The sequence below is a fragment of the Homo sapiens genome, chromosome 6 (assembly GCF_000001405.40).
Source record: "Homo sapiens chromosome 6, GRCh38.p14 Primary Assembly".
NCBI lineage: Eukaryota > Metazoa > Chordata > Mammalia > Primates > Hominidae > Homo > Homo sapiens.
This window is the reverse complement of record NC_000006.12, coordinates 155,152,767-155,177,308: the sequence shown is the minus strand read 5'-3', so window position 1 is coordinate 155,177,308 and position 24,542 is coordinate 155,152,767. Positions and strand designations below refer to the sequence as shown.

Sequence of the window (24,542 nt, the reverse complement as noted above, 5' to 3'; positions counted from 1 at the left end):
CTTATAACACACCATCTCTAAGTAACTTAAATAGCAACGGATTTCATAATTATTCTAGATATCAAAGTATACATAGAATTTCAGTAGATTAGCTCAGGTTCTTCATGGAAGTGTGGGATCATGACCTAATAACTCATTCTTCTAAAGAGATCAAGGAATAGAATGCAAATTAATGAATATGCTAATAAATATATTAACTAATAAATATGCTAATATGTTCCCTGGCATGGAAACTGGGCCCTTGAATATCACATGAATTTAGAAGGCATAAGATTGCAACATTAATGATTATTTCTATTCAGAAATATATTTCTGCAGCAAAATCCGTTACCTTGCATGCCAAAGTCAAAATATCTTCTACTCTGTGCTCTGGCTTGATCCCTACAGTAACTCCGTGATTGTCCTGAAAGTGGACATAAGTCTGGATTTCCCATGCATTGTCTCGGGGAACACCGTCTACTGTTGAACCATATATATGCAGAAGTTCATCGACCTGTTTGTAGATGCCAAAAGAAAATGCAGACAAATTTGATTAACAAATGAAGGAAACCACCGGCCAAATGTCCTGTTCATTTACGGAGTATTTAGAGTAAACGCTCACACGCTTCACATCACTGGCTTCTCACAGCCCTCTGAGGCTGACAACGTTTCCTCACTCATTTTATCAGATGAAACTGCAGCCATGGGAAGCAGAGTGAAAGTTAGTGACTGCCTGTCCTGTGTTCTTTCCACTGTGTCAATTGACCGCTTATGCCAAGTTAGAACACCACAATCCGGCTGGGAACGGTGGCTCACGCCTGTAATCCCAGCACTTTGGGAGGCCAAGGCGGGTGGATCACCTGAGGTCAGGAGTTCGAGACCAGCCTGGCCAACATGGTGAAACAGCGTCTCTACTAAAAATACAAAAATTAGCCAGGTGTGCTGACGTGCGCCTGTAGTCCCAGCTACTTGGGAAGCTGAGGCAGAAGAATCGCTTGAACCTGGGAGGCAGAGGTTGCAGTGAGCCAAGATCATGCCACTGCACTCCAGCCTGGGCAACAGAGTAAGAGTCTGTCTCAAAAAATAAAAAAAGAACACCGCAATCCATGTAAGGGCTGCTGAGTATCCACGCTTACTGCTCTGGGATCATGGTTGAGAAGGGCCACTGTGAAGCCTGCATCTCAGCCATAATCCCTCTCTGACCTCCCACTGAATTCCAGACACACCTTGTCCATGGTCACTGACATCTGCCTGCCATCCTGACTCTGAACTGCACTTAATCCAGCACAAGCTTTCTCTTCTAAGACTATCTGTGTTTTTGTCTTTGTTTCTTCTTTTTAATTTTAGCCTGACTCATCACTGACAGAAATCTATTTGTTCCTTAAAATTAACCCATAGTCCTGGGAAATCTTTTCTCTATCCTTCAGCTATCTCACACATAGACACTGTTGGAAAATCATCTCAAAGAATACCACCTTCAGGAAGCCTTTCCCAAAAAAGTGTAGTGTGCCAACTACATCATCACAACAATTGCTGACTTCATGCTAATACGTCCTTTTGTAATTCATAACAAAAATAGCATACATTTCTTAAGCGATGTAGACATGTTTCTCTCTGGGTAGGTTCTTATATTCACATAGCAGTAAAGAAAAGATTTGGGGCTTCGAAATCAAAAGTCACAGACTCTACCAGCAAAGTGTGGCCTAGGACAAGATTTACCTTGCTACGTACGATTCAGCTCCTGTTTTGTAAAAGAGGATATTATTAATATAATTCATATTGAAAAAATTACTTGTTACTTAAGTTTTTGTGAGCAAAAGAGGTCACTTATGTGAAACACCTTACATACCAGAAAATGTCACCTGTAGATTCAATACTATCACATTATTATATATCATTCATCATACTTTAAAGTTATCATTAATGGGTGATTTTACTTTGAATTCCATGCATTTTTAAATACAAAGTAAAAGATCCTCCTATGCAGGATTTAAAAACTAGAAGAGACATCGTAAAGAAATTTAAAAGAAGAAAGCAAGGGAAAAATCTGTCTCTCTGTGCCATCTTTTTGAAAACATGGTGCTCAATTTTGAAGTGACATTTCTGGATTTGTCTTGGATCTGTCGCTTTCAGTACATTTTTCTGGAAGGATGATCACAGCCAGAATGCACATCCCCACACGTGCCAATGCCAAAGGAAAAGACAGGACCAGATGCAAGGAGCCAGGGATGCCAGGAACCAGCCCGGACACTCTCTGCTAAAGGCTCTTGTCTTACACAGGCACATTTTTTTCCCTGGTTCATTCTCTCGGGTACTTTTCATCTGGGCAGTGATTTCAACCCGGTGCTTAGCAACAAACAGATGCTGCCTTAAAGGTGCAGGCCCCACCTCTGAAACCAGGCTTGTTGAGAAGCAAACTAAAACCCAGCAGAGGTCACTGTGGAGTAAGAAACATCACAAAGAACAAGGCCCGGAGGAAGTCACAGGCTCCCACTGAGGGTGACAGAGCAATTAATTTACTGCTGCACTTTTGGAGATCAGGAAGAACGTAATTATGGATAAACAGGTGTGGGAGGAACATGAGCAGTACAAATTAACACTGTGCCTTCACACCCTCTTGTTCTCACCGTTACTGACAATCAGAGAAAGACTGTATCACTTGGCCGGGCGCCATGGCTCACGTCTGTAATTCCAGCACTTTGGGAGGCCGAGGCCAGTGGATCACCTAAGGTCATGAGTTCAAGACCAGCCTGGCCAACATGGTAAAACCCTATCTCTACTAAAAATAAAAATTATCCGGGCATGGTGGCACGCGTCTGTAGCCCCAGCTACTCAGGAGGCTGAGGCAGGAGAACAGCTTGAACCTGGGAGGCAGAGGTTGCAGTGAGCCAAGATCGTGCCACTGCACTCCAGCCTGGGCGACAGAGGGAGGCTCCATCTCAAAAAAAAAAAAAGACTGCATCTCGTGAGACCAAATGAAACAAGCTCCTGATGTGCCATCAGTTCACTCACCACTCACAGCCAGCCCTCTCAGGAAGGCACCATCATCACTTCCTATGGAAAAGGCAAGAAAAATATGGCTCAGGAAATTCTAGAAACTTGCCCAAGTTTACACAACTAGTGCCTATGGTACTCCGGGGATCTGAAGGGTGGAAGTCTGGGATGAGCTGGTTCACACCACCACTATACTACACAGAATGCCCGCCTGGCAGTTAACTCCCTTTATATAAAATGGGTGCAACCCAAATCTCCTGATTACTTTCCATTATTCTAAGCCACACACCATGTTCCCATTGAACAGAATGGCTCAGGGAACATTCCCCAGAAGGGAGTGGCATGCTCCTGCTCCACACCGGTGCTCACTTCCATCTCCTCTCTCTGCTGTACCGTCCTTACAAGTAGAGTCAGTGCTGAAACCATATATACCCTCCAACCTGGTTTAAAATGCCCCTGTCTTATGAATTCTCTCCTATCTCTCCTTTCTCTGCCCTCAAGTCCTCTCACTTAGATGAGTTTACTCTCCTATGTCCCTGGTACAGCATTTGGCAAAGCCCAGCTCACAGGAGAGTCACTTCTAAGTCCCGCACCAGGAGAAGATGAATACCAGCAGAGGCTTTGTCTTCTGCATCCTCATTCTCCCTCAGCCATTAACACAGTGCGTCCCACACCCAGGACACACCCAAAACTTCAGTGCTGAGCTGGATACAACTAGAAATTCACAGTCATATTACAGGCAGAAGGGTAAACGCTGTCCGTTTTCAGTATCTTACTCAAATCTGTTGACATAGTGTCAAGTTCTTAATGCTCTCTGGAAGCTTCGAGAAGAAAAATTAACAGATTATTGAAGGAGAATAAGTTCTGGACAAGAGAAAAGTGTGCAGATAGATGGAAGGATGGAAGGACAAAAGAAATAATCCTATTAAAATCCATTAAACAAGGTGCTGTGCTACAACTGCTCTGAGCAATGGTTTTCTGAGTCTACACTGTTGACCCAAGATCTAGTGAACCATAGAAGAGAAGACGCCTATCAAAGCCAAGGCCATCAAAGAGTAAGACCCTCTCAAGAGAGTCCCTCAATGAAAAGTTAAATGTAATTTTTGGTGTGTGTTAGGCAGACAGACAGACAGACACACACACACACACACACACACACACACACAACCCTCACAAATGTATACAGTTCAAGAAAAGTAAAACCTGGTTATTCAAAGGAAGCACCAAGAATTTAAAATTAATTTATTAAAACTAGAAAAAGAAAAAGCTACTTGGTGCTTACAGATCTCTTAGGTTGTTGTAAGCTTTGCCCATTTGGAGGGAAAGTTGGATTAATTCTCTGAAGGAAGGTCAATGCTATCCAAGTTGAAAATACACATGCTTTAGTTTCAGGAAGCCAGATGAAATATTCTCCAATATTCTTTTCATAAAAAGAAGAGAGAATCCTAAAAATAAGCATTAAAAATGGAGCCATCTGGAAAACTCTTTTTCCAGGTTACCCATGTCAAAGATGCTGCTATGTTAAATTAACCTTTTTAACCACCCAGAATTCCACGGTTGGCTACCTTTGCCAGGACTGTTACGCACCTACCACGCCTCCTACTCTACTTCCTCCCATCAAAGAAAAAAAAAAAAAAAAAAAAAAAAAATATATATATATATATATATATATATATATATATATATATATATATTTCCAACTAGCCTCTTCAAGGTTTCCTGGTCCTGAGAATGCAAATGGAGACAGAAAAAATACAATAATAGCAAGGCAATCCAGGTCAAATCTCAGCCTTGTTAGGGGCTGTTATCTAGTGCCTCTGCACTTCTGTTCCTTCACCTTCAAAAGAGGTTAAAAACGCCAGCCTCGTGGGGTGGTTAGGAGACTGATGGGAGGAATTGCATTTGAAAGACATAAATTGTAAAGATTTTTTTTGGAAGCTGAGGCTGGATCAGGGCATTATACTGTACTGGGAGTAGCTACTGCATTTCAGCGATGGCCACTATAAAGAACTTCCTGAGAATCATCCTTTGTTCCAAAGCCCTGGGCCACTGTTCTGGCCACTGCTGCTCAGATCACCTTGCAGTCAGCTCCAACTGGCCATCACGACACGGGAACATCACTGGGCTGCAGCCACAGTCACTCCAGACTGACTAGTGAACGTCTGCAAATCACTTTAGCTCTCCTTGGAGGGCATTCCACAGAAGTATTTATTATTATTATTATTACATCAATGGTCCTGAAACCACATGTCAAATTACTTATGCTCAGTATGCAGCAAGGAGAAAAAATTGAAACTCCGTGTGTTCTCACAGCAGATGCTTTTGGATCAAATGGCTTGTAATTACTACTTGGATCACTGAAGGGAAGTGAGTAGCAAAATCACAATCTGGCTGTCACAAATGGGCCCAAACCACCACAGTGGCTGATAAAAGGAAAGTCTATTTGCAAGGGAGATGAGGAGAAAACACAAAAGGGAGTTGCACGCTCCCAGTTTTCTTAACAACAGTAAAATGTCATAGAAGAGAAAGTGTTTATTTCCTTCTTGGACTGAGGCCCACACATCGGTTGATATGAAAGAAAAACAAAGATGGATCTAGCTAGCTCGCTAGCTGTATGCATATATATATGCTATGTAGGGTTGTGTATTAATATTCTCTCTAAACAGATTACCATACTGTGGTGAAGAGTAAGCTGTTTCATTCATATTTTCCATTTAAGAAAACAATATTAGGGGGTTTGTTTTGGTTTTGGGGTTTTTTGGGGTTTTTTAGGTTTTTTTTTCAGTTTACAGCTCATGACTAAGATGACAATACTGCATTCACTCACTGCCACAGAAAGTTGGAATACCCCAAGCCAATTTTCCAGAAGAAGGGGCCAAGGCCCAGGGGCTGTCACAATTTCTGCAATGAAGCTTCTGGGGTTGCCGCCATCTGAGCCTTAGTGGGGACTTTGTTGTCACAATCTCCATGACAAACACCTCCCTTCAAAGGCCGTGTAAGACTCACTATTACTCATCCAGACGTTCGTTATGAAAAGCTTTCATTTTTGGCAAGCCAAAGTGTCCTCTAAAAAAATGTTCAAGTAAGACTGGCTTTATTCCAGACTTAACAGATTTTGAATTAGGGTGACTCACTGTTGGGCTGTTATATGATGCATCAATTAGAGTGAAATAGTTTAAAATGCACACGGCCCCTCCCTCACAACAGCCTTTCTGTGTTATAGAAATGGGCGTAATGTACTTATTGTATAAAAATAGGTTTGTGCAGGTTACAAGTATTCTCCAAGAATGATTAGCAGATGAAAAGTAGCAAAATGAAATATTAATTATTTAGCCAGCTCAGGCAGAATTTTAAGTCCCAGAGATATAAAAAAACAAATTACACCCTTAGTTCTATCTGCCATTCTATCTGAATCTAGTTATCTGGGTACGATAGCACAGAAATTACAGAGGCTGCATTAAAATTGTCCTATAAATGAAAGGAATTTCTTCAGTATCCCTACATCACAAGTAATGCTTAGCTAAAACAAATAGGAGTAAAACAAATGCAGAAATCATAGTTTCTTCTCACTCCTTAGAGCATCGATGGGACCTGTTGATTTGAGCCCATCTTAAGCACTAAGCTTAAATTCTCACTGTAAGTGGCTACATCAGCAAAATTTATTTTCAAAGTCCAACATAAACTCTGTTAATAGGAAGTGTACTGATGCTATAGTTTCATAACTTTCTTTTTTCAGGGATGGGGTCTTACTCTGCCACCCAGGTCAGAGTGCAGTGGTGCGATCTTGGCTCACTGCAACCTCTGCCTCCCAGGCTCAAGCAATCCTCCCACCTCAGCCTCCGAGGAGCAAGCCACTACACTCGGATAATTTTTTGCATTTTTGATAGAGACAGGGTTTCACCATGTTGCCCAGGCTAGTCTCAAATGATCCACCTGACTCAGCCTCCCAAAATTCTGGGATTACAGGCACGAGCCACCATGCCAGGCCTCTTAACTTTCAAAGTAAGAATTTTACATTGTTATATAATGCTGGAAGAGATAGGACCCTAAAATTATGGGCCTTTATTACAAATCAGTCATCCTCAGCCATTAAATGACTACATCTAATAGAAATAGGGCATATATAAACTATATCGATTACAAGCTTTCCTGGGAGCCATGACATACGCACTTGACAGAGTGGCTAACAGTAAGAGATGGTAAGTGCAGAGTAAGAACTGGCTGGGTGCAGTGGCTCACGCCTGTAATCTCGGCACTTTGGGAGACTGAGGTGGGTGGATCGCGACGTCAGGAGTTCAAGACCAGCCTGGCCAACATAGTGAAACCCCATCTCTACTAAAAATACAAAAATTAGCCAGCCTTGGTGGCAGGTGCCTGTAATCCCAGCTACTCAGGAGGCTGAGGCAGAAGAACTGCTTCAACCTGGGAGGCAGAGGTTTCAGTGAGCCGAGATCACGCCACTGCACTCCAGCCTGGGCAACAGAGTGAGACTCCATCTGAAAAAAAAAAAATTATTTGGTGGAGGAGAAATTAAATAACACAGCTTCATGGGGATGTTGTGGGTTTGAAAAAGGCACTAGGAAGAGGCATAGGCACATCTGGGATTTCATGCTCTAGGATTTCATTCAGAAATCATTCTGAGGATTTGTTTGGTCAGAAGCAATTCTAGGGATGAGGAGACATTACTCAGGCTCCCCTTGACGGCGCCTGGAGAGACACAGCATAGAATGTACTATCTATGTGAAGATCCCTGACAACCCTGAGAGGAAAATGCAATTTTGTATTCACTGAACTCTCAAACGAAGGTAAGTACTGCTGAGGAATAGAGATGTATAAATCAAAGATATTATTATGACTTCAGTCTAGTCATGTCACTAATTTTAAAATGGAGTTAACATGAGGTTAGATACCTCCAAAATGCTTGGCATTCAAGACTATCTCTTTAGAGAATACCTACTGGGACCATTTTAATTATAAATCTATTTTCAAGGAGTTCATGTAAAGATTCTGAACCAGCATTCCTCGCTTAAGTTAGCATTTGTGGCCGGGTGCTGTGGCTCACCCTGTCATCCCAGCACTTTGGGAGGCCGAGGTGGGTGGATCACAAGGTCAGGAGATCGAGACCATCGTGGCTAACACGGTGAAACCCCATGTCTACTAAAAACACAAAAAATTAGCCGGGCGTGGTGGCGGGCGCCTGTAGTCCCAGCTACTCGGGAGGCTGAGGCAGGAGAATGGCATGAACCCGGGAGGCGAAGCTTGCAGTGAGCCAAGATCGTGCCACTGCACTCCAGCCTGGGCAACAGAGCCAGACTCCGTCTCAAAAACAAAAACAAAAACAAACAAAAAAAAACAGAAAAAGTTAGCATTTGTGTCATTCATGTAAAACAAGATGGCGGCCATCTATAGCAAAGTTTACCTCACTGGAGTTACTGGAGTTTTGAGGTAGCTGAGTTCCAGAAAATCCATGGCTGCCACTTGAATCAAATATCTGACAGATGGGGGAGGAAAAAGACTAATGAAATGGCCCTGTAATATTCATCTGCCAGCTACCCTTTTTCATTATTTAAAAACTAAAGTTCTATAACATTTTAGAAGAGCTTCATATCACAATTTGTATCATTATTCTAATACACTTAAAGTTTTTATTTCCCGCATAGTTACGTTTTACTTTTTTATGTCATCTATTATTTAAGTCGGCCTGTAATCCCAGCACTTTGGGAGGCTGAGGTGGGTAGATCACCTGAGGTCAGGAGTTCAAGACCAGCCTGGCCAAAAGAGTGAAACCTCATCTCCATTAAAAATACAAAAATTAGCCAGATGTGGTGGCACCCGCCTGTGGTCCCAGCTACTCAGGAGGCTGAGGCAGAGAATCACTTGAACCCGGGAGGCGGAGGGTGCAGTGAGCTGAGATCATGCCACTGCACTGCAGCCTGGGCAACAGCACGAGACTGTATCAAATAAATAAATAAATAAATAAATAAATTCATTCTTGATATGCTTTTAACCAAAAAGTACATGTTTCTGAAGGTGTGAAACAGAACCAACAAAATCAAGCTCATACCTACTTTTTTTAATGTGCACAGAATAAATCTTGGAAGAAAATATAGCTAAATGTTAAAAGTGGTTTGTTTGGGTAGAAGAATTAAAAACAATTGCCTTTTCCAAATTTCACCTTCTAAATTTTGTAATGGCATAATTAACATTAAAAACAATATAAACACTTAGAAATACCTACTAAATCAACTTCATTCAGTTATATAAATACTGACACTGTAATTAGTTTCATATCTTTTTAAAACAAAAAATGTTCGACCAAATGCTTTTGTTTATCAAAAAGTCTATGTTGAGAACAAATTACCACAGATGCTGGGTAAAAACCATATTAGGCTCATATCTAATTAGCAGAATGTCTACACCTAAGAAAAAATAAGCAAGTTATTTATCAAGTTATTATTTATATCGAATATACTGTCTTGATTAAAATACCTTAAGGACATTAGTTAACCATCAAAGAAGTTCAGTTCACAAAACATAAGTGCTCGGTGTTATGGCTCAGACCTGTAATCCCAGGACTTTGGGAGGTTGAGGTGGGAAGATGGATTGAGGCCAGAAATTTGAGACTAGCCTGGGCAACATAGGGAGACCACTCCCATCCCCATTTCTACAAAAACAATTTTTAAAAAATAAAGAAAGCATAGGCCCACCATTAGCAAAGGGTTTGCAGTTGACTACAGTCAATAATGAGGAAATACATTTCCATTACAACCAACAAATAAGATTACTCTTTACAATTAAATTAAATTAAATTACAGGCTGGTCACAGTGGCTCACACCTGTAATCCCAGTACTTTGGGAGATAGAGGCAGGTGGATCACATGAGCCCAGAAGTTTGAGACCAGCCTGGCCAACATGGTGAAACCCTGTCTCTACTAAAAATATAAAAATTAGCCACGTGTGGTGGCTCAAGCCTGTAGTCCCAGCTACTTGGGAGGCTGAGGCACGAGAATTGCTTGAACCCAGGATGTGGAGGTTGCAGTGAGCCAAGATCGTGCCACTGCACTCCAGCCTGAGTGACAGAGAGACTCTCTGTCTCAAAAAAGAAAAAAAAATTAATTACAAGTAGAACCACAATTTTAAAATCTGATATTATTTTTGTATATGAGTATATAAACATGGTGGCCACATAAGAAAAGTTTCCTGTGATTCTGCTGTCTGTTAATCTACCAACCCACTCTCCACCACCTCTAACTTTATTGTTTTAAGGTTTTAAACAAGTCAAAGGAACTGATACTGGCCCTTTTACTTACCCAATTCACAAAAGCGTTATCAAATAGCCATATACAAATTAGAAAACAAAGATCCAATAAAATGTGACTCTCTTTCCAATGATATTGAAAATATAATCAGAAAAACAGCAGCTCATTGAAAATAAAAGCAAAAACTTCTTCAGATTTAATTGCAAACAATTTCCCTATTCACCTGAATGATCAGGTCATCATATAACTTATTTTTTCAACAGCTTTGAAACAGAATAATCCTAAAACATATCAATCAGCAAGATAAAGTCCATTATCATGCACCTGCATCATGAAATACAGGTGCACCATGAAATACACATATTCAAAATGTTTTGAAAACAATTTACGATACTTGGGCCACATTTCACATAACATGTGCTTAGACTATTTTTCCTTAATAAAAATGTTAGAAGAGGCCAGGCACGGTGGCTCACGCCTGTAATCAGCACTCTGGGAGGCCCAGGTGGGTGGATCACCTGAGGTCAGGAGTTCACAACCAGCCTGGCCAACAGGTGAAACCCTGTCTCTACTAAAAATACACAAATTAGCCAGGCATGGTGGTGTGCACCTATAGTCCCAGCTACTCAGGAGGCTGAGGCAGGATAATCACTTGAACCCAGGAGGCAGAGGTTGCGGCGAGCCAAGATCACACCACTACATTCCAGCCTGGGTGACAGAGCAAGACTCCATCTCAAAAAAAGAAAAAAAAAAAAGAGAAGAAAAGAAAAAGAAAGTGTTGCAAGAGTCACCTTTCCCCAAGGGAAAATAAGCACTAGCAATTTTCCAGTGTTTCAAGACCGTGGACTTAGGCAGAAACTAGTCCTGGCCCTGCCCTTTGGTGCTGGTGAACAGGATAAGGTAAGTGACGTAACCTCTTCAAGTGTCAGTCTGCTCGTCTCTAAAATGGGATGACAAAACCCCAAGGCCATGTTCTAAGGATTTAGTGAGCAAAATCCACAGCTCTATCAACAGAACTGAGCTGCCACTCCTCTGATTATTAATTTTCCATTTATTTTAATATAAAATCTATGAGAAAGTAAATATTAGTACTAGAGGGAAGGAAAAGTGTGGATTATTTTCTGATTATTCTTATTTTTTCTGTTCTTAAGCACTGCACGCAGTGTGACTACCTCTTCAGGGGTGCCGGGATAGATACGGCAACTTGTGCAGTTTCGTTGGGTTAAAAAAAAAAGTGCATGCTAAGAGTTGATTCCTTTGAATCAACTTTTATTTTCATTTTTATTTTTGAGACGGGGTCTCGCTCTGTCACTCAGGCTGGAGTACAGTGGCAAAATCATGGCTCACTGCAGCTTCAACCTCCCGGGCTCAAGCGATCTTCCCAATTCAGCTTCCCGAGTAGCTGGGACTATAGGCGCACACCACCACACTCGGCTATTTGTAGAGATGGGGTCTCACTCTGTTGCCCAGGCTGGTCTTGAAGTCCTGGGCTCAGGTGGCCCTCCTGCCTTGCCCTCCCAGTGTGCTAGAATTACAGGCGTGAGCCACCCCACCTCGCCTCATTTCATTCTTAACAGAGAATGAACATTGATGATTCATAGCAGGCCGAAAATTAGGGGTTTCAGGAATTTCACTCTAGTCTGCTGTTCCCATGCTGAAAAGCTCACCTGAGTTATAGAAGGTCTCTTCTCCTTGCCTTTTCTGGCCAGTGTGTCCAGCCCTTTTAACGAAGAAAATATTCCCTTCTTGTTTCTCCCTCGCTGGGTCAGTGACAGTGTCCTTTTCCGGAGAGCAGAGTCATCTCTAGAACATACCTAATGTAAAACACAGTTTAAAAAAAATCTAAAGGCTTAGTATTTGAGTGGCAGAAAAAATGAAGGAAGTGAGCTCTGCTTGCTATAAATGCATTCTGACTATCGCCAAAAGCTCCTGCATGTCTGAAATACCAGGAAAGCATCCATCATATAGACCACTCTCATCTGGATAACACAAGTCATGACAGTCAGCTCTCTCCATGGTGGGCAGCAGCGTCAGCAAAACCACTACAGACCCCTAGGCTGAGCCAACACAACACACAGAAGCCACCAAAATGGGTACGACTTCAAAAAACCTGATGGGGCGCTCTGCAGGACAGAGAAAACAACCTTTAATCCATCCTTTAATCTTCACACCACTGTTGCCCCTTCTCCAGGATCCCACTTTCCTGATGGTGGAATACACAGAAAGGCAGAGATGAGCATGCAGTAACTGTCCACTAGCTGCTGGACTCTAGAATAAGCAGTAGAGAAACCGGGGGCTCTACAGCACGACGTCTGGTCTCCTTCATCTCCAGGCCCCTGGCCTCTGGGTGACCTGGCCTCTAGGTGTCAGTTGTTGGGTCAAGCCCCACAAGTGCCGATGGCAACAAGCTGAAGAAAGGGGGAGCATCCGCAGCCCTCCCCGAATGCTGCAGAAACAGCCTTCCTCAGGAACTTACCAGAGCATGGAAAGAGGAAACAGACAAGATGCCCAGCCTGCCGAGGGCCAGCTTGGAGGGGCGGCTGGCGGCTGCAAGGAGACTCTTTGGGTTCGGTAACTCCCCACCTTGTAGGCTGGCCAGATAGCAGCGCATCCTGAACAGATCCATGTGAAATTTCTCAAGATTCTGCTCCCATTGCTGGATCTTAAAGCAAAAACAGAGGTGATTTAAATAAAAATTAAAAGTTTTCACAGGTTAAAACGAAAATGTGATCCCTTTCACAAACTTGAAGAAAAAATTAGTTTCGGCTGGTCTGCATGGTTTAAATTAGCCTTTCCTGCTCACCCCATCTCAATCCCTCCCATCAAAATGCATTGGGTCCTTTGGAAAGCGAGGCAGGCAGATCACTGAAGGTCAGGCATTTGAGACCAGCCTGACCAACACAGTGAAACTCCATCTCTACTAAAAAAAAGAAAAAAAAAAAACACAAAAATTAGCTGGTGTGGTGCCAGGCACCTGTAATCTCAGCTACTCTGGAGGCTGAGGCAGGAGAATGGATTAAACCTAGAAGGCGGAGGTTGCAGTGAGCCAAGATCATGCCACTGCACTCCAGCCTGGGCAACCAAGCAAGACTCCGTCTCAAAAAAAAAAACAAAATGCACTGGGTCATCCAGCACTTCATTTCATCAGGATAGCCAAACAAAAACAAAAACAAAAAGCTGGTGGTCCCAATACAGTGACATGCCAAAAAGGCATGATGTTTGTTTGGAGAATGCCAACACTCTAAACCATCCTGACTTAAAACAGGATGCAATTTGCAAGTCAGCTTTTTCACTTTGCTTCATTTCCCTTCACATTTACAGTCCCTGATCCTAAACTGGATTAACTGAACTGCACACAAACAGATGCCAGATAAATAAAAGCAATGACTTTATGTTTCTGTTCATTCTGAGTAAATGACTCAAAACAATAAGAAGCAAATGGACTTCAGGGATAAGGACAAATAGAATTTTACTGAGTATACTCCTAAGTAAGTATCTTGGAGAATAACTGCCATCTGTACATCTAAATAAAATTAAAGTATATGCAGCTGTTTACACCACAGAAGTTACTATGAACTTCTTCAAAACTTAAGTCATGAGTTGGTAAAGAAATGCAGCCAAACTCTGGGAGCCACTCTCCTTTCTCCCAAAGATATAAAATGCATTACCTACAAGTATTACCTTCATGCAAAGATAAGTTATTAATAATAGGTGAAGAGAGGCTCTTGTGACTTGCCAACACAGGGACTCAGCAGAAGAACGAGAAGAACAGAAAGCTGTGATTCAAAAGCTGTTGAGCGCAATCTCAACACTCAAGAGAAGGTCTGTAAGTGAACGCTTGTAATCAAGGATGCAGTGTGAAGAGTTAGGTTATTTCAGGTGCACCAGTTGCATCTCTAGTTCTGCCATGTTGCTGAGCACCCAGACAGATCCTAGCCTTTCACACCAAGCTTTCTAGGTGAATCCTTCATTCTGGATAAATAATACTTTGAAGGATTTCCAACACTGGACACTCTGCCCCCTCCAGTCTCTCCCCATAGACAAGTATTACAAATTCTGGGCATTCCCCAGACCTTTTCCAAGTTCTCTGTAGCTATTTCTTAGGTTGGTCGCTGCACAACTTTTCTGCATGAAAGAAAAACAGTCACAAGATCTAAACAAAGAATTTCTTAATCATCATCATTTGTCAGCAAAACAGTGACATTCCAAGGTGCATTGAAACAATGTCAACATCCATAAAGAATTTAACCTCACTCAAGATCCTGTATACCCCTATTAGCAACGTGGTGGCCTACTGGTATCAGCCTTGAATGGACAGAATGACCTGTTGGCTTTTAAAAATGCAGATGCCCAGGTCCTACGCCTGAAGATTTTATCCATTAGGTCTGAGGCCTAGGAAAGTTTACATTTCATGAGCACCTTCTGGGATTCTGGTGCATGGCCTTATTACTGATGACTCCTGTTCTACGCTAACAAGACAGTTCAAATTGAAACTGCAAGTCTCTTCCTGGTCCTGCCATATTAGAGAATTCCAGATTTCAGAGTGATGGATGGGCACAAACTGACACCTTACTTAAGGTTCAGTAAAAACTATCATCTCAGTTCTGTTTCCCAAACATCTTCTCTCCAGATGATTCCTGAAAGTCCACAATTATAGATGGATTCCTTTGTCTTCTAATAATATGTAGATATTTCTAGATTGGATAATGCATTAAAGTTTATCACACTCATTTATGCCTCACTGTAAAACAGTTTATCAGATATTTTCTGAAGGTTGTATGGAGGGTGAAGATATAAGAGGAAAGAAAATGAATGAGTCGGCAAGGCACAGTGGCTCATGCCTGTAATCCCAGCACTTGGAGAGGCCGAGGTGGGCAGACTGCTTGAGCCCAGGAGTTTGAGACCAGCCTGGGCAACATGGCGAAATCCTGTCTCTACAAAAAATACAGAAATTAGCCAGGCATGGTGGTGCATGCCTGTAGTCCCAGCTACTTGAGAGGCTGAGGTGGGAGGATCTCTTGAACCCAAGAGGTGGAGGCTGCAGTGAATTGAGATCACGCCATTGCAGTCCAGCCTGGGTGACAGAGCGAGACTGTCTCCAAAAAGAAAAAAAGGAAAGAAAAAGAAAATGAATGAGTCACTGGATACCAGAAGGTAAAGATGCCCATGCAATCCATGGTGGATTAAAAAGACAAAAAAGGCCGGGAGTGATGGCTCACGTCTGTAATCCCAGCACTTCGGGAGGCCGATGCGGGCAGATCATTGGAGGTCAGGAGTTCAAGACCAGCCTGACCAACATGGTGAAACCCCATCTCTACTAAAAATACAAAAAAAAAAAAACATTAGCCAGGTGTGGTGGCACACGCCTGTAATCCCAGCTACTCAGGAAGCTGAGGCAGGAGAATTGCTTGAACCCCGGAGGTGGAGGCTGCAGTGAGCTGAGATCGCACCACTGCACTCCAGCCTGGGCAACAGAGTGAGACTCCATCTCAGAAAAAAAAAAAAAAAGACAAAATAAAATAAAATTCAGGTCTATGCCAATCACCACAGGTTGGGGAAGAAGACAATCTCTTGTATTTGCACTGAATCCTGTAGTTTTAAAAGTATTTTTAACAGCACTATTTAATGTACTTATGTGACTACACATCAAAGCAGTACTGAGAGGTAAAGACAGTTTGAGACCAGCCTGGGCAACATGGTGAAACCCTGTCTCTACAAAAAAATGCAAAAATTAGCCAAGCATGGTGGCATGCACTTGTGGTCTTGAGAGGCTGAGTTGGGAGGATCACTTGAGCACAGGAAGCAGAGGTTGCAGTGAGCCAACAATGTGCCACTGCATCCCCAGCTGGGGTTATCAGAGTGAGACCCGATACCCCGGCTCAGATCGGGAATGAGCACACAGGGATACACAGGGAATCATAAAGTTTTATCAGAAACACTTTAATAATCTTCAGCACTCATAGACCTCTCCACCCAAATCTTGGGACAAAATACAGGTGAATTCAGAGGGAGAACATGGACCCAGATGCTTAGGTTTGTTGGAAAGTCAACAGGGCTGGGACACCCCAATAGCCCAAAGGAGACCTTATAAAAATCAAGACGTTTGTTGTCTTGATTGTATCTTATTAAGTTTCAAGACAACCAGTATCTCAATAAACTGTACACTGTAAAGTTCATTTAAAATTTAATTTAGTAGAAAATGCAAAGGAAAAGTAACCTTATGACTTCTCTATTTCAACAATGTTCCTTATCCTTCTTAACCTTATCCTGACTGGAGTGATTTTTTGTTTGTTTGTTTGTTTTTGTTTTTGTTTTGAGACATGGTCTCACTCTGATACCCCAGCTGGGGATGCAGTGGTACATTGTTGGCTCACTGCAACCTCTGCTTCCTGCGCTCAAGTGATCCTCCCAACTCAGCCTCTCAAGACCACAAGTGCATGCCACCATGCTTGGCTAATTTTTGCATTTTTTTTGTAGAGACAGGGTTTTACTATGTTGCCCAGGCTGGTCTCAAACTCCTGAGTTCAAAGCGATCCACCCGCGTAATGGTTAATATTATGTACCAACTTGATTGGGCCACGGGGTGACCAGGTATTTAGTCAAACATTATTCTGGGTGTGTCTCCAAGGATGTTCTGGGAGATATTAACATTTAAATGGGTAGACTGAGTAATGCGGATTGCCTTCCCTAATGTGGGTGGGCCTCATCCAATCTGTTGACCACCTGAAGAGGACAAAAAGGCTGACACCCCCTCAAGTAAGAGAGAACTCCTCCTGCCTGACAGCCTTCAAACTGGGACACTGGCTTTTTTTCCCCCTTGGCTTTGGACTTGAACAAAACATGGGCTCTTCCTCAATCTTGAGCCTACCAGTCTTCAGCCTAGAACTACACCATCAGCTGTCTTCATTCTCATGCCTTAGACTCAGACTGGAACTATACCATTGTCTCTCCCAGGTCTCCAGCTTACTGACTTACCCTGCAGATCTTGGGACTTGCTCTTCTCCATAACTGCATGAGCCTATTTCTTATAATAAATTTCTCTCATTCTCTCCCTACACAAACACATACACACACACCTCTTCAGGTATACACACATCCTACTGTTTCTGTTTCTCTGGAGACCCCTGACTTATATACAGCCTTCATCCCTATAGATCTTTGTGGCAGAGTAAGCCATCTTTACTCACGTATCTATTCCATATTGAAAGATCATAGTCATCTTATTTTTAAGGTCATGGTTCTTTATAGAAAGAATCAGTTCCAGAGCTTAAATGAAGATCTGTGGTTAAATAATCAATATGAAATATTTGACTTTTCTTTCCACAGACTCAGCAAAGTTGTAGAGAGGAACTTGAAAGAGTATTCAAGTAAAAGTACGGTGAGGCCCCTGATTCAGAAGCTCGGGTTCCTTAGAGGGAAGAAGAGGTACAAGTGCTGGACCCAAAGGCTCACAACAGACCTTATAGTATTTAGAAAGGCTGTTAACATTCACAATGAAATTGCAAGGGACTTGGTATTACCATACCTTCATTTCTCAGCAGTTGAGACTTAAGTCCAGAAGAGAAGCAATTTGACCAGTCATGTAAAAAGCTCACCCTACCAGACTAGCAGACCCAAAGCCGATTCTGATGTGAACAACATGTAGGGGACAGGGACCCTCTCAAGTAGCTATAACGGGGCCCCTGATTCCCAGGTCTTCTGACTCATAGGAAGATACCTGTGCACTATCCTCATAGTGACCTTAGCAACTTTCATTTACATTTTTACCTGTCCACTTTATGTCTGCCCATATACCCCCAGGTATTCTACAGAGAAGGAGGTAAGACTACCACACTCTCACTCAGTGGCCCTATTCATATTGAACACTTTACATTTCAATATCCTACCAGCCTTGACATTCAAAGCCAGCCCAAATTTAAAGTAATGTTAACTTGAAAGAAAAACATTTTATAACAATTCTTCAGAAGGTGACATAAAAGAAAGACAAAGATACATATTTTAAAGGGTAAAGGAAAAAAAGACAATCTTTTAGCTATTATGTATGTTAGTTTAGAGATTCAGTACAGTTCAATGATAATAATCACCAAAATAGTAATGTATTACCTGACCACATTTATCAAGGTGTTTCTGGAGATATTTTTTTCTAACATCAAAAACTAGAATGCCTAAAATCAGTTCCTTTTAATCCAAGACATCCCACCCCCTTTTCCTAAATTCTTTAAATACTGATAAGTTTCTAGATGTTTCCTTATTATTTAAAGATAAACATCAAGATATGATATAAAAAGAAAAAAAAAAACACTTGCAGCCTGGTCAACGTGGTGAAACCCCGTCTCTATAAAAAAACACAAAACTCAGCCAGGTGTGGTTGGTGCACACCTGTAGCCCCATCTATGTGGGAGGCAGAGGTGGGAGGATAGCTTGAGCCCAGGAGGTTGAGGCTGCAGTGAGCCGAGACAGGGCCACTGCACACTCCAGCCTGGGCAACAGAGTGAGACCCTGTCAAAAAAAAAAAAGTAAAAAACATAACTTCTATATAGATTGAGCTTTTGTTTCTTTTAATGCCCATGCTCAAAACATAAAAAAGACAAGACTGAAAAAAACTCACTCTGAGAAGGTTTTCATTATCTTTCATTGTGAAAGGAAGTTACTAATAACAAAATTACAGGGGAACACTCCCATTTTTAAACATTGGCACAAATTCAATGCAAAATTTTCCTCTTTATTGCTAACACAGCTTTACTGATTTAATGAACTCAGAAAGGTTATGGTCTCCTGTAGTAAAGTGGGAGGGAGAGGGATGAAGCCTAATGCTAAAAATAACAAATGAATAATGATTTTTTTTTAAAAGATGACAAGTACATTCCTGCCACACCCAGCAGTCCTAGAAAAATATTTTCTGCCATTTAGTCATTTAATCGCAGTAGTCATTTGCCTATTACTAGGTTTGTCCCATAAGATAATTCATGTTTCTTTCTTGGTGTAAGAAGCTGAAAAACTCCCGTTCCATGCTTTCCAAATACTAAAACCTATCTTCACAGAAGAACCAGCTAGTGACATAGATGACACTCAAGTTTAACAGTATTTAGAACAACCAGCTAAAGTAGAGAGATTCGGTTTTGTTCTGTTTTCCTTTGAGATATAATTCCCATACCCAAAAATTCACTCAGTTTTATAATCAATGTAATTCCCATCAAATCGACCTGAAAAATCCAAGTTATAAAAACAAGTAAATCAAGGATTCTATTCCACACAAAACAATTCATCACCTGGTTTAGTTAGCAAGCAAAGCACCATCTGATTTACCCAAGTCTTACGGAGCAGTAGCGCCTATGAATTAGGAGCAAAGATTTGTGTCCAAATCCCAGCTCTACCACTTACCAGCTGTGTGACATTAGCAAATGCACTTCTTGGTGCTCCAGTGGCGCAATCAGTTAGTGCACGGTACTTATACGGAAAATGTACTTCTCGTCTGGGTGCAGTGGCTCACTCCTATAATCCCAGCACTTTGAGAGGCCGAGACAGGAGGATCGCTTGCACCCAGGAGTTCGAGACCAACCTGGGCAACATAGCGAGACCTCGTCTCTATTTTTTAAAAAAATTTTTAATTCTAAAAAAAAAAAAGAAAGAAAAAGAAAAGAAATATACTTCTCCTAAGGGTCTATTTACTCATCCAACAAACGGGTGCTATATCTACATCTTTACCTTGCAGAGTTATTGTGAAATCACATATGATAGTGGCCTAAGGCAGAGGCTCTGATAAAACAAGGAAGGGGAGCATGAGAACAAGGCAGGGCAAAAGGAGGCGTTCTGTTAGACGGGGGTGAAGCAGGAAGGCCTGGAACACTGGGAAGTGGGGTGGTGGCTGACTCAGAGAAGATCTCTGTTTCCTGCAGTACAGAGGACAGCATCCCTGGACAGACGAGACAGAGGTGCTTCCACACATTCACTAACTCAAGCAAGGCATCGAGGGTTCAGAGATAAAAAAACAGACACGGTTCCTCCAGGAGCACGTATTTTATAGCAGGAGCAACCTTACACACGAAGAAATCATGACAAAGCCATGGATGACAGCAGTGGCACAGACATGGAGAACTGTGGGAGGAGAGTGGGGCTCCCTGATGGAGTGGGCAAAAGGGCGATCAAGGACAGCGCCTTGGAGGAAGCGACCCCTAAACCCTTCATGACAGTCGAGAAGGGGTGAGCCAGATGAAGAGGGCGGAGGGGAGCAGGGCACATTTGTGCACAGCACAGGAGTCCTCTCTGCCTGAGGAAAAACCCAAAGAAAGGAGCAGAAGGGTGGGCTCAGGGAGTTGCAGATAAAGGTCAAGGTGGGGAGAGGTTATCAGGGACTTTATCTGGCAATCACAGGATCACATGTGCTTTTTATTTTTTTACTTTATTTATTTATTTATTTATTTTGAGACATATCACTCTGTTGCCCAGGCTGGAGTGCAATGGTGTGATCTCAGCTCATGGAAACCTCTGCTTCCTGGGTTCAAGCGATTCTCCTGCCTCAGCCTCCCGAGTAGCTGGGATTACAGGTATGCGCCACGACACCTGGCTAATTATTTTTGTATTTTTAGTAGAGACGGGGTTTCACCACATTGGCCAGGCTAGTCTTGAACTCCTGACCTCAAGTGATCCGCCCACCTTGGCCTCCCAAAATGCTGGGATTACAGGCATGAGCCACTGCACCTGACCCAGATGTGCTTTTCCGATGCAACCCAGTCTGGCTGTTGTATGGAAGATGCATCAGACGAAGGGCGAAACCGGAGGCTTCTGCAGTGGTACCGGGAGGAGAGAGTGACAGACAGTCCTACTTCCCCTGTCTACCTCTCACCACCTACCTAAAACCACACTGCATTTGCTCCCACTGTGCCTTGGCCTGGAAGACCCCTCTCTATTCTCCCGGTAAACTCCTCATTTTTCAAGAAGCAACTTGGCCTCCCTCCTCCAGGGTCTTCCATGACTGCACATGAGGCTATATTTCCCATTTCTGTCTTCCACAGCACTGGAATGCCACGTGCACTGAATCACTGTGTTATGTTGAAATTGTATGCTCAACTGTCTGTCACCTGCTAGACTGAGAGCTCAACTGTCTGTCACCTCTCTCTAGCAGGTGCCACTGTCACTGAAGGCTCTAGCACTCTCTCTAGCAGTGCCACTGTCACTGAGGGCAGAGACAGTGACTTCTTTGAGTCTCCAGTCTGTGCACATTTGCCTGACCCAGAGTATGCACCGAACAAACGCTCATTTAACTAAACCAAACATTCTTATTCTCCTAACAAAAACATTTCCAGGCTGGGAGCGGTGGCTCATGCCTGTAATCCCAACACTTTGGGAGGCCAAGGCGGGCAGATTGCCTGAAGTCAGGAGTTCGAGACCAGCCTGGCCAACATGGCAAAACCCCGTCTCTACAAAAAATACAAAAATTTGCCGGGTGTGGTGGCGTACGCCTGTAATCCCAGCTACCCAGGAGGCTAAGGCAGGAGAATCACTGGAACCCTGGAGGCAGAGGCTACAGTGAGCCGAGATCACACCACTGCATTCCAGCCTGGGCGACAGAGAAAGACTCCGTTTCAAAAAAATAGAAAATAAAAACACTTCCAGCTGGGCACACTGGCTCACACCTGTAATCCCAGCACTTTGGGAGGCTGAGGCAGGCGGATCAGTTGAGGTCAGGAGTTTGAGACCAGCATGGCCAATCCCATCTCTACTAAAATACAAAAATTACCAGGACGTAGTGGCACATGCCTGTAATCGCAGCTGCCTGGGAGGCTGAGGGACGAGAATCACTTGAACTCAGGAGGCAGAGGTTGCAGTGAGCCAAGACCATGCCACTGCACTCCAGCCTGGGCAACACAGCAAGACTCTGCCTTAAAAAATAAAAAATAACACTTTCACCATCTCCCTATTGCCTGCCTTAAAAAATAAAAAATAAAAAATAACACTTTCACCATCTCCCTATTGCCTATTGAATAAAGTTCACATCTTCACCCACCACCTCCACAATCTGACTTTATCTCCCTCAAATCCCCTCACAAATATGCTACACTCCAGTGGTTTGTTCCTCAAACTGCTTCCCCCTGTACACATCCAGAAATACACCACAGTATCCTCGTATTTTCCTCAAAGCCTTGTTCTCATTGTTCTCTTCACCAGTTGCCAATTGTCCAAACGCAATCCGTCCTCTTTATGATTTTAAAACTGTATTTAAGTAAATATTTAAACTGAAGCCCACATTTCATAAAACCCAGAGCAGTCTGAACCCTACCAGCAAGTGCTTCCTCCTTCCCCACAGCAACCCCTGGTAGTCCAACCACCTCCTCCCTCCCCAGCCTAATTAACCACAGAAGCAGGCCTGTCTACCCTGGAAATCGCACATAATGAGGCAGGATGGGGGATGCCATCTGGGAGAATGCCAAGACTGCCTAAGGGTGGTGAGGTTTTGTCCTTGTTTACTTGTTTGAAATAATAAGCAGAAAGGCAAATAAAGTACTAACTGGACTTAATTTACAACTCTTCCTCCCTGGGAACTTCAAAGGCGATCTGGCGTGTGGATGGCGGTGTGATCTGGTCCACATTGGACATGCTCAAATGAAAGCTGCATCATCCTGCCCCAGAAACACCCAAGAGGCCCAGGACACGGCCAGAGCATGTCACCACTGACCGTATGTAGCTCAGCCGGTATGTTACAACTGCGATAGTGCCTTTTTATTTCAAAAAGGATCTTCTCCACCCACGTACTTCGAAGAAAACCTGTTCCAGAGAATTTCTGTTGCATGATGTCACCTACATTGCACATTCTATTTTTAGGCTAGAAATGACTACATCTGAGGTTTTCAGGGAAAACCGCTGGGGAGGAAGCTACATAAATAAATGTATATTTATTGAGGTTTTAAAATGCTAAGTGGATAAAGCACTGCTCTTTTACAGATATTTTTAAAAGGAAGTTTAGAGAAAGCTAAATGCTTAGGGAATATTTTGGAGACCCTGTCCTGATTGGTCTTGATCTGTAAATACCTTTGCCTTTGTGGCTTCACATTACATTTTTTTGTCAAATATCTCATAAAAGCAATTTTAAGCAAGTACTTGTTCCTGCTTAATGCTTCCCAGTCTTTGTGTCTGAAGGTAAAAAGTAAACAGCTCTTGGCCAGGTATAGTGGTTTCACGCCTGTAATCCCACCAGTTTGGGAGGTCGAGGCAGGCAGATCACCTGAGGTCAGGAGTTTGAGAACAGCCTGGTCAACATGGTGAAACCCCATCTCTACTAAAAATACAAAAATTAGCTGGGCGTAGTGGTGGGTGCCTGTAATCCCAGCTACTCGGGAGGTTGAGGCAGGAGAATTGCTTGAATCCAGCAGGTGGAGGTTGCAGTGAGCTGAGATTGCGCCACTACCCTCCAGCCTGGGTGACAGAGCAAGACTCTGTCAAAAAAAAAAAAAAAAAAAAGCGTAAACAGCTCCTTTACAACCTGCTGACAAAGGATGCAAGGACAGCGGGCACAGCAAACATAACTCAGGCTACACACTACAAAGCCCTTCAGGAACATGTGACTAAATCATAACCTCAAAGAGTGCAATACGGTGAGGAGAATACTTCCAGGTAGAATTTCTTTTTTTTTTCTTTTTCAGAAATAGGGTCTTGCTGTGTTGCCCCACCTGATCTTGAGCTCCTGGCCTCAAATGAACCTCCAGCCTCAGCCTCCCAAAGTACTGGGATTACAGGTGTGAGTCACCGTGCCTGGACAAGAATTTCTAAAATCAATCCCAATTGTCTGTTACCAGAAACTCACAAGACTAACATGAGAAAGGGAGTGCATGTACGGCAGGGGTTGGGAGAAGGGTGTAGGGGAGAAGGGAGTGTGGGGAGGACACAGGAAGGGGTTAGGGCCTGGGCTATGGGGAGGGGAGAACCAAAAATGAAAAATTAGTAGCATTAGAAAGGTGCACTTAAAATAACTAAAGTGATGATTCTGTCAAAGAATGGATAATGGACCACAAGTGATAATTACCCTCATTCTTTAAAACAGTTTCTCTTCAGGCCACCTGACCATCCAGACCCCTGGATTTATGTAAGGGTTTATGTTCAAGTAACCTCCCCTCTTAATCAGAGAATAGCACCAACTATGATGTCATCAATTAAACATTTACAAACTATGGACAAGGGAATACAATTACATTTAATGCAAATTTAAATTTTTAAAAAAATGTCTGCTTAGACTCCTTGTGGCCACAGAGAAACCCCCACCCACCACCACCACACACACACAACAGGCCAGGAGCCTCTCAGTGTTGCCAAATGTCC

General features: G+C 42.8%; 1 protein-coding gene across 3 annotated transcripts in view, besides 6 other annotated features; it reads right to left on the bottom strand.

Annotated features, from left to right (window-relative positions):
• TIAM2 (TIAM Rac1 associated GEF 2) overlaps positions 1-24,542 on the bottom strand; it is a 262,409-nt gene that overhangs the window by 80,415 nt on the left and 157,452 nt on the right. For all 3 annotated transcript variants that reach the window (NM_012454.4, NM_001384546.1, NM_001384547.1), the window contains 3 exons: positions 12,709-12,894; positions 11,900-12,046; positions 332-493 (listed from right to left, as the gene is read on the bottom strand). In NM_012454.4, coding sequence (NP_036586.3) covers positions 332-493; positions 11,900-12,046; positions 12,709-12,894 — 495 coding nt within the window. The remainder of the gene's footprint in view (positions 1-331; positions 494-11,899; positions 12,047-12,708; positions 12,895-24,542) is intronic.
• Positions 648-777: a silencer, noted in NCBI's record as "silent region_17702". NCBI's record gives its function as "represses an Ori minimal core promoter by ATAC-STARR-seq in GM12878 lymphoblastoid cells {active_cell/tissue: GM12878}" and the evidence as "EXISTENCE:reporter gene assay evidence [ECO:0000049][PMID:35858748]".
• Positions 2,271-2,330: an enhancer, noted in NCBI's record as "active region_25303". NCBI's record gives its function as "activates an Ori minimal core promoter by ATAC-STARR-seq in GM12878 lymphoblastoid cells {active_cell/tissue: GM12878}" and the evidence as "EXISTENCE:reporter gene assay evidence [ECO:0000049][PMID:35858748]".
• Positions 5,453-5,512: an enhancer, noted in NCBI's record as "active region_25302". NCBI's record gives its function as "activates an Ori minimal core promoter by ATAC-STARR-seq in GM12878 lymphoblastoid cells {active_cell/tissue: GM12878}" and the evidence as "EXISTENCE:reporter gene assay evidence [ECO:0000049][PMID:35858748]".
• Positions 5,543-5,962: an enhancer, noted in NCBI's record as "active region_25301". NCBI's record gives its function as "activates an Ori minimal core promoter by ATAC-STARR-seq in GM12878 lymphoblastoid cells {active_cell/tissue: GM12878}" and the evidence as "EXISTENCE:reporter gene assay evidence [ECO:0000049][PMID:35858748]".
• Positions 6,003-6,062: an enhancer, noted in NCBI's record as "active region_25300". NCBI's record gives its function as "activates an Ori minimal core promoter by ATAC-STARR-seq in GM12878 lymphoblastoid cells {active_cell/tissue: GM12878}" and the evidence as "EXISTENCE:reporter gene assay evidence [ECO:0000049][PMID:35858748]".
• Positions 17,546-17,715: an enhancer, noted in NCBI's record as "experimental_91096 CRE fragment used in MPRA reporter constructs". NCBI's record gives its function as "activates a minimal promoter by MPRAs in K562 erythroleukemia cells, with activity observed for the introgressed 6:155480813 variant allele {active_cell/tissue: K562}" and the evidence as "EXISTENCE:reporter gene assay evidence [ECO:0000049][PMID:34662402]".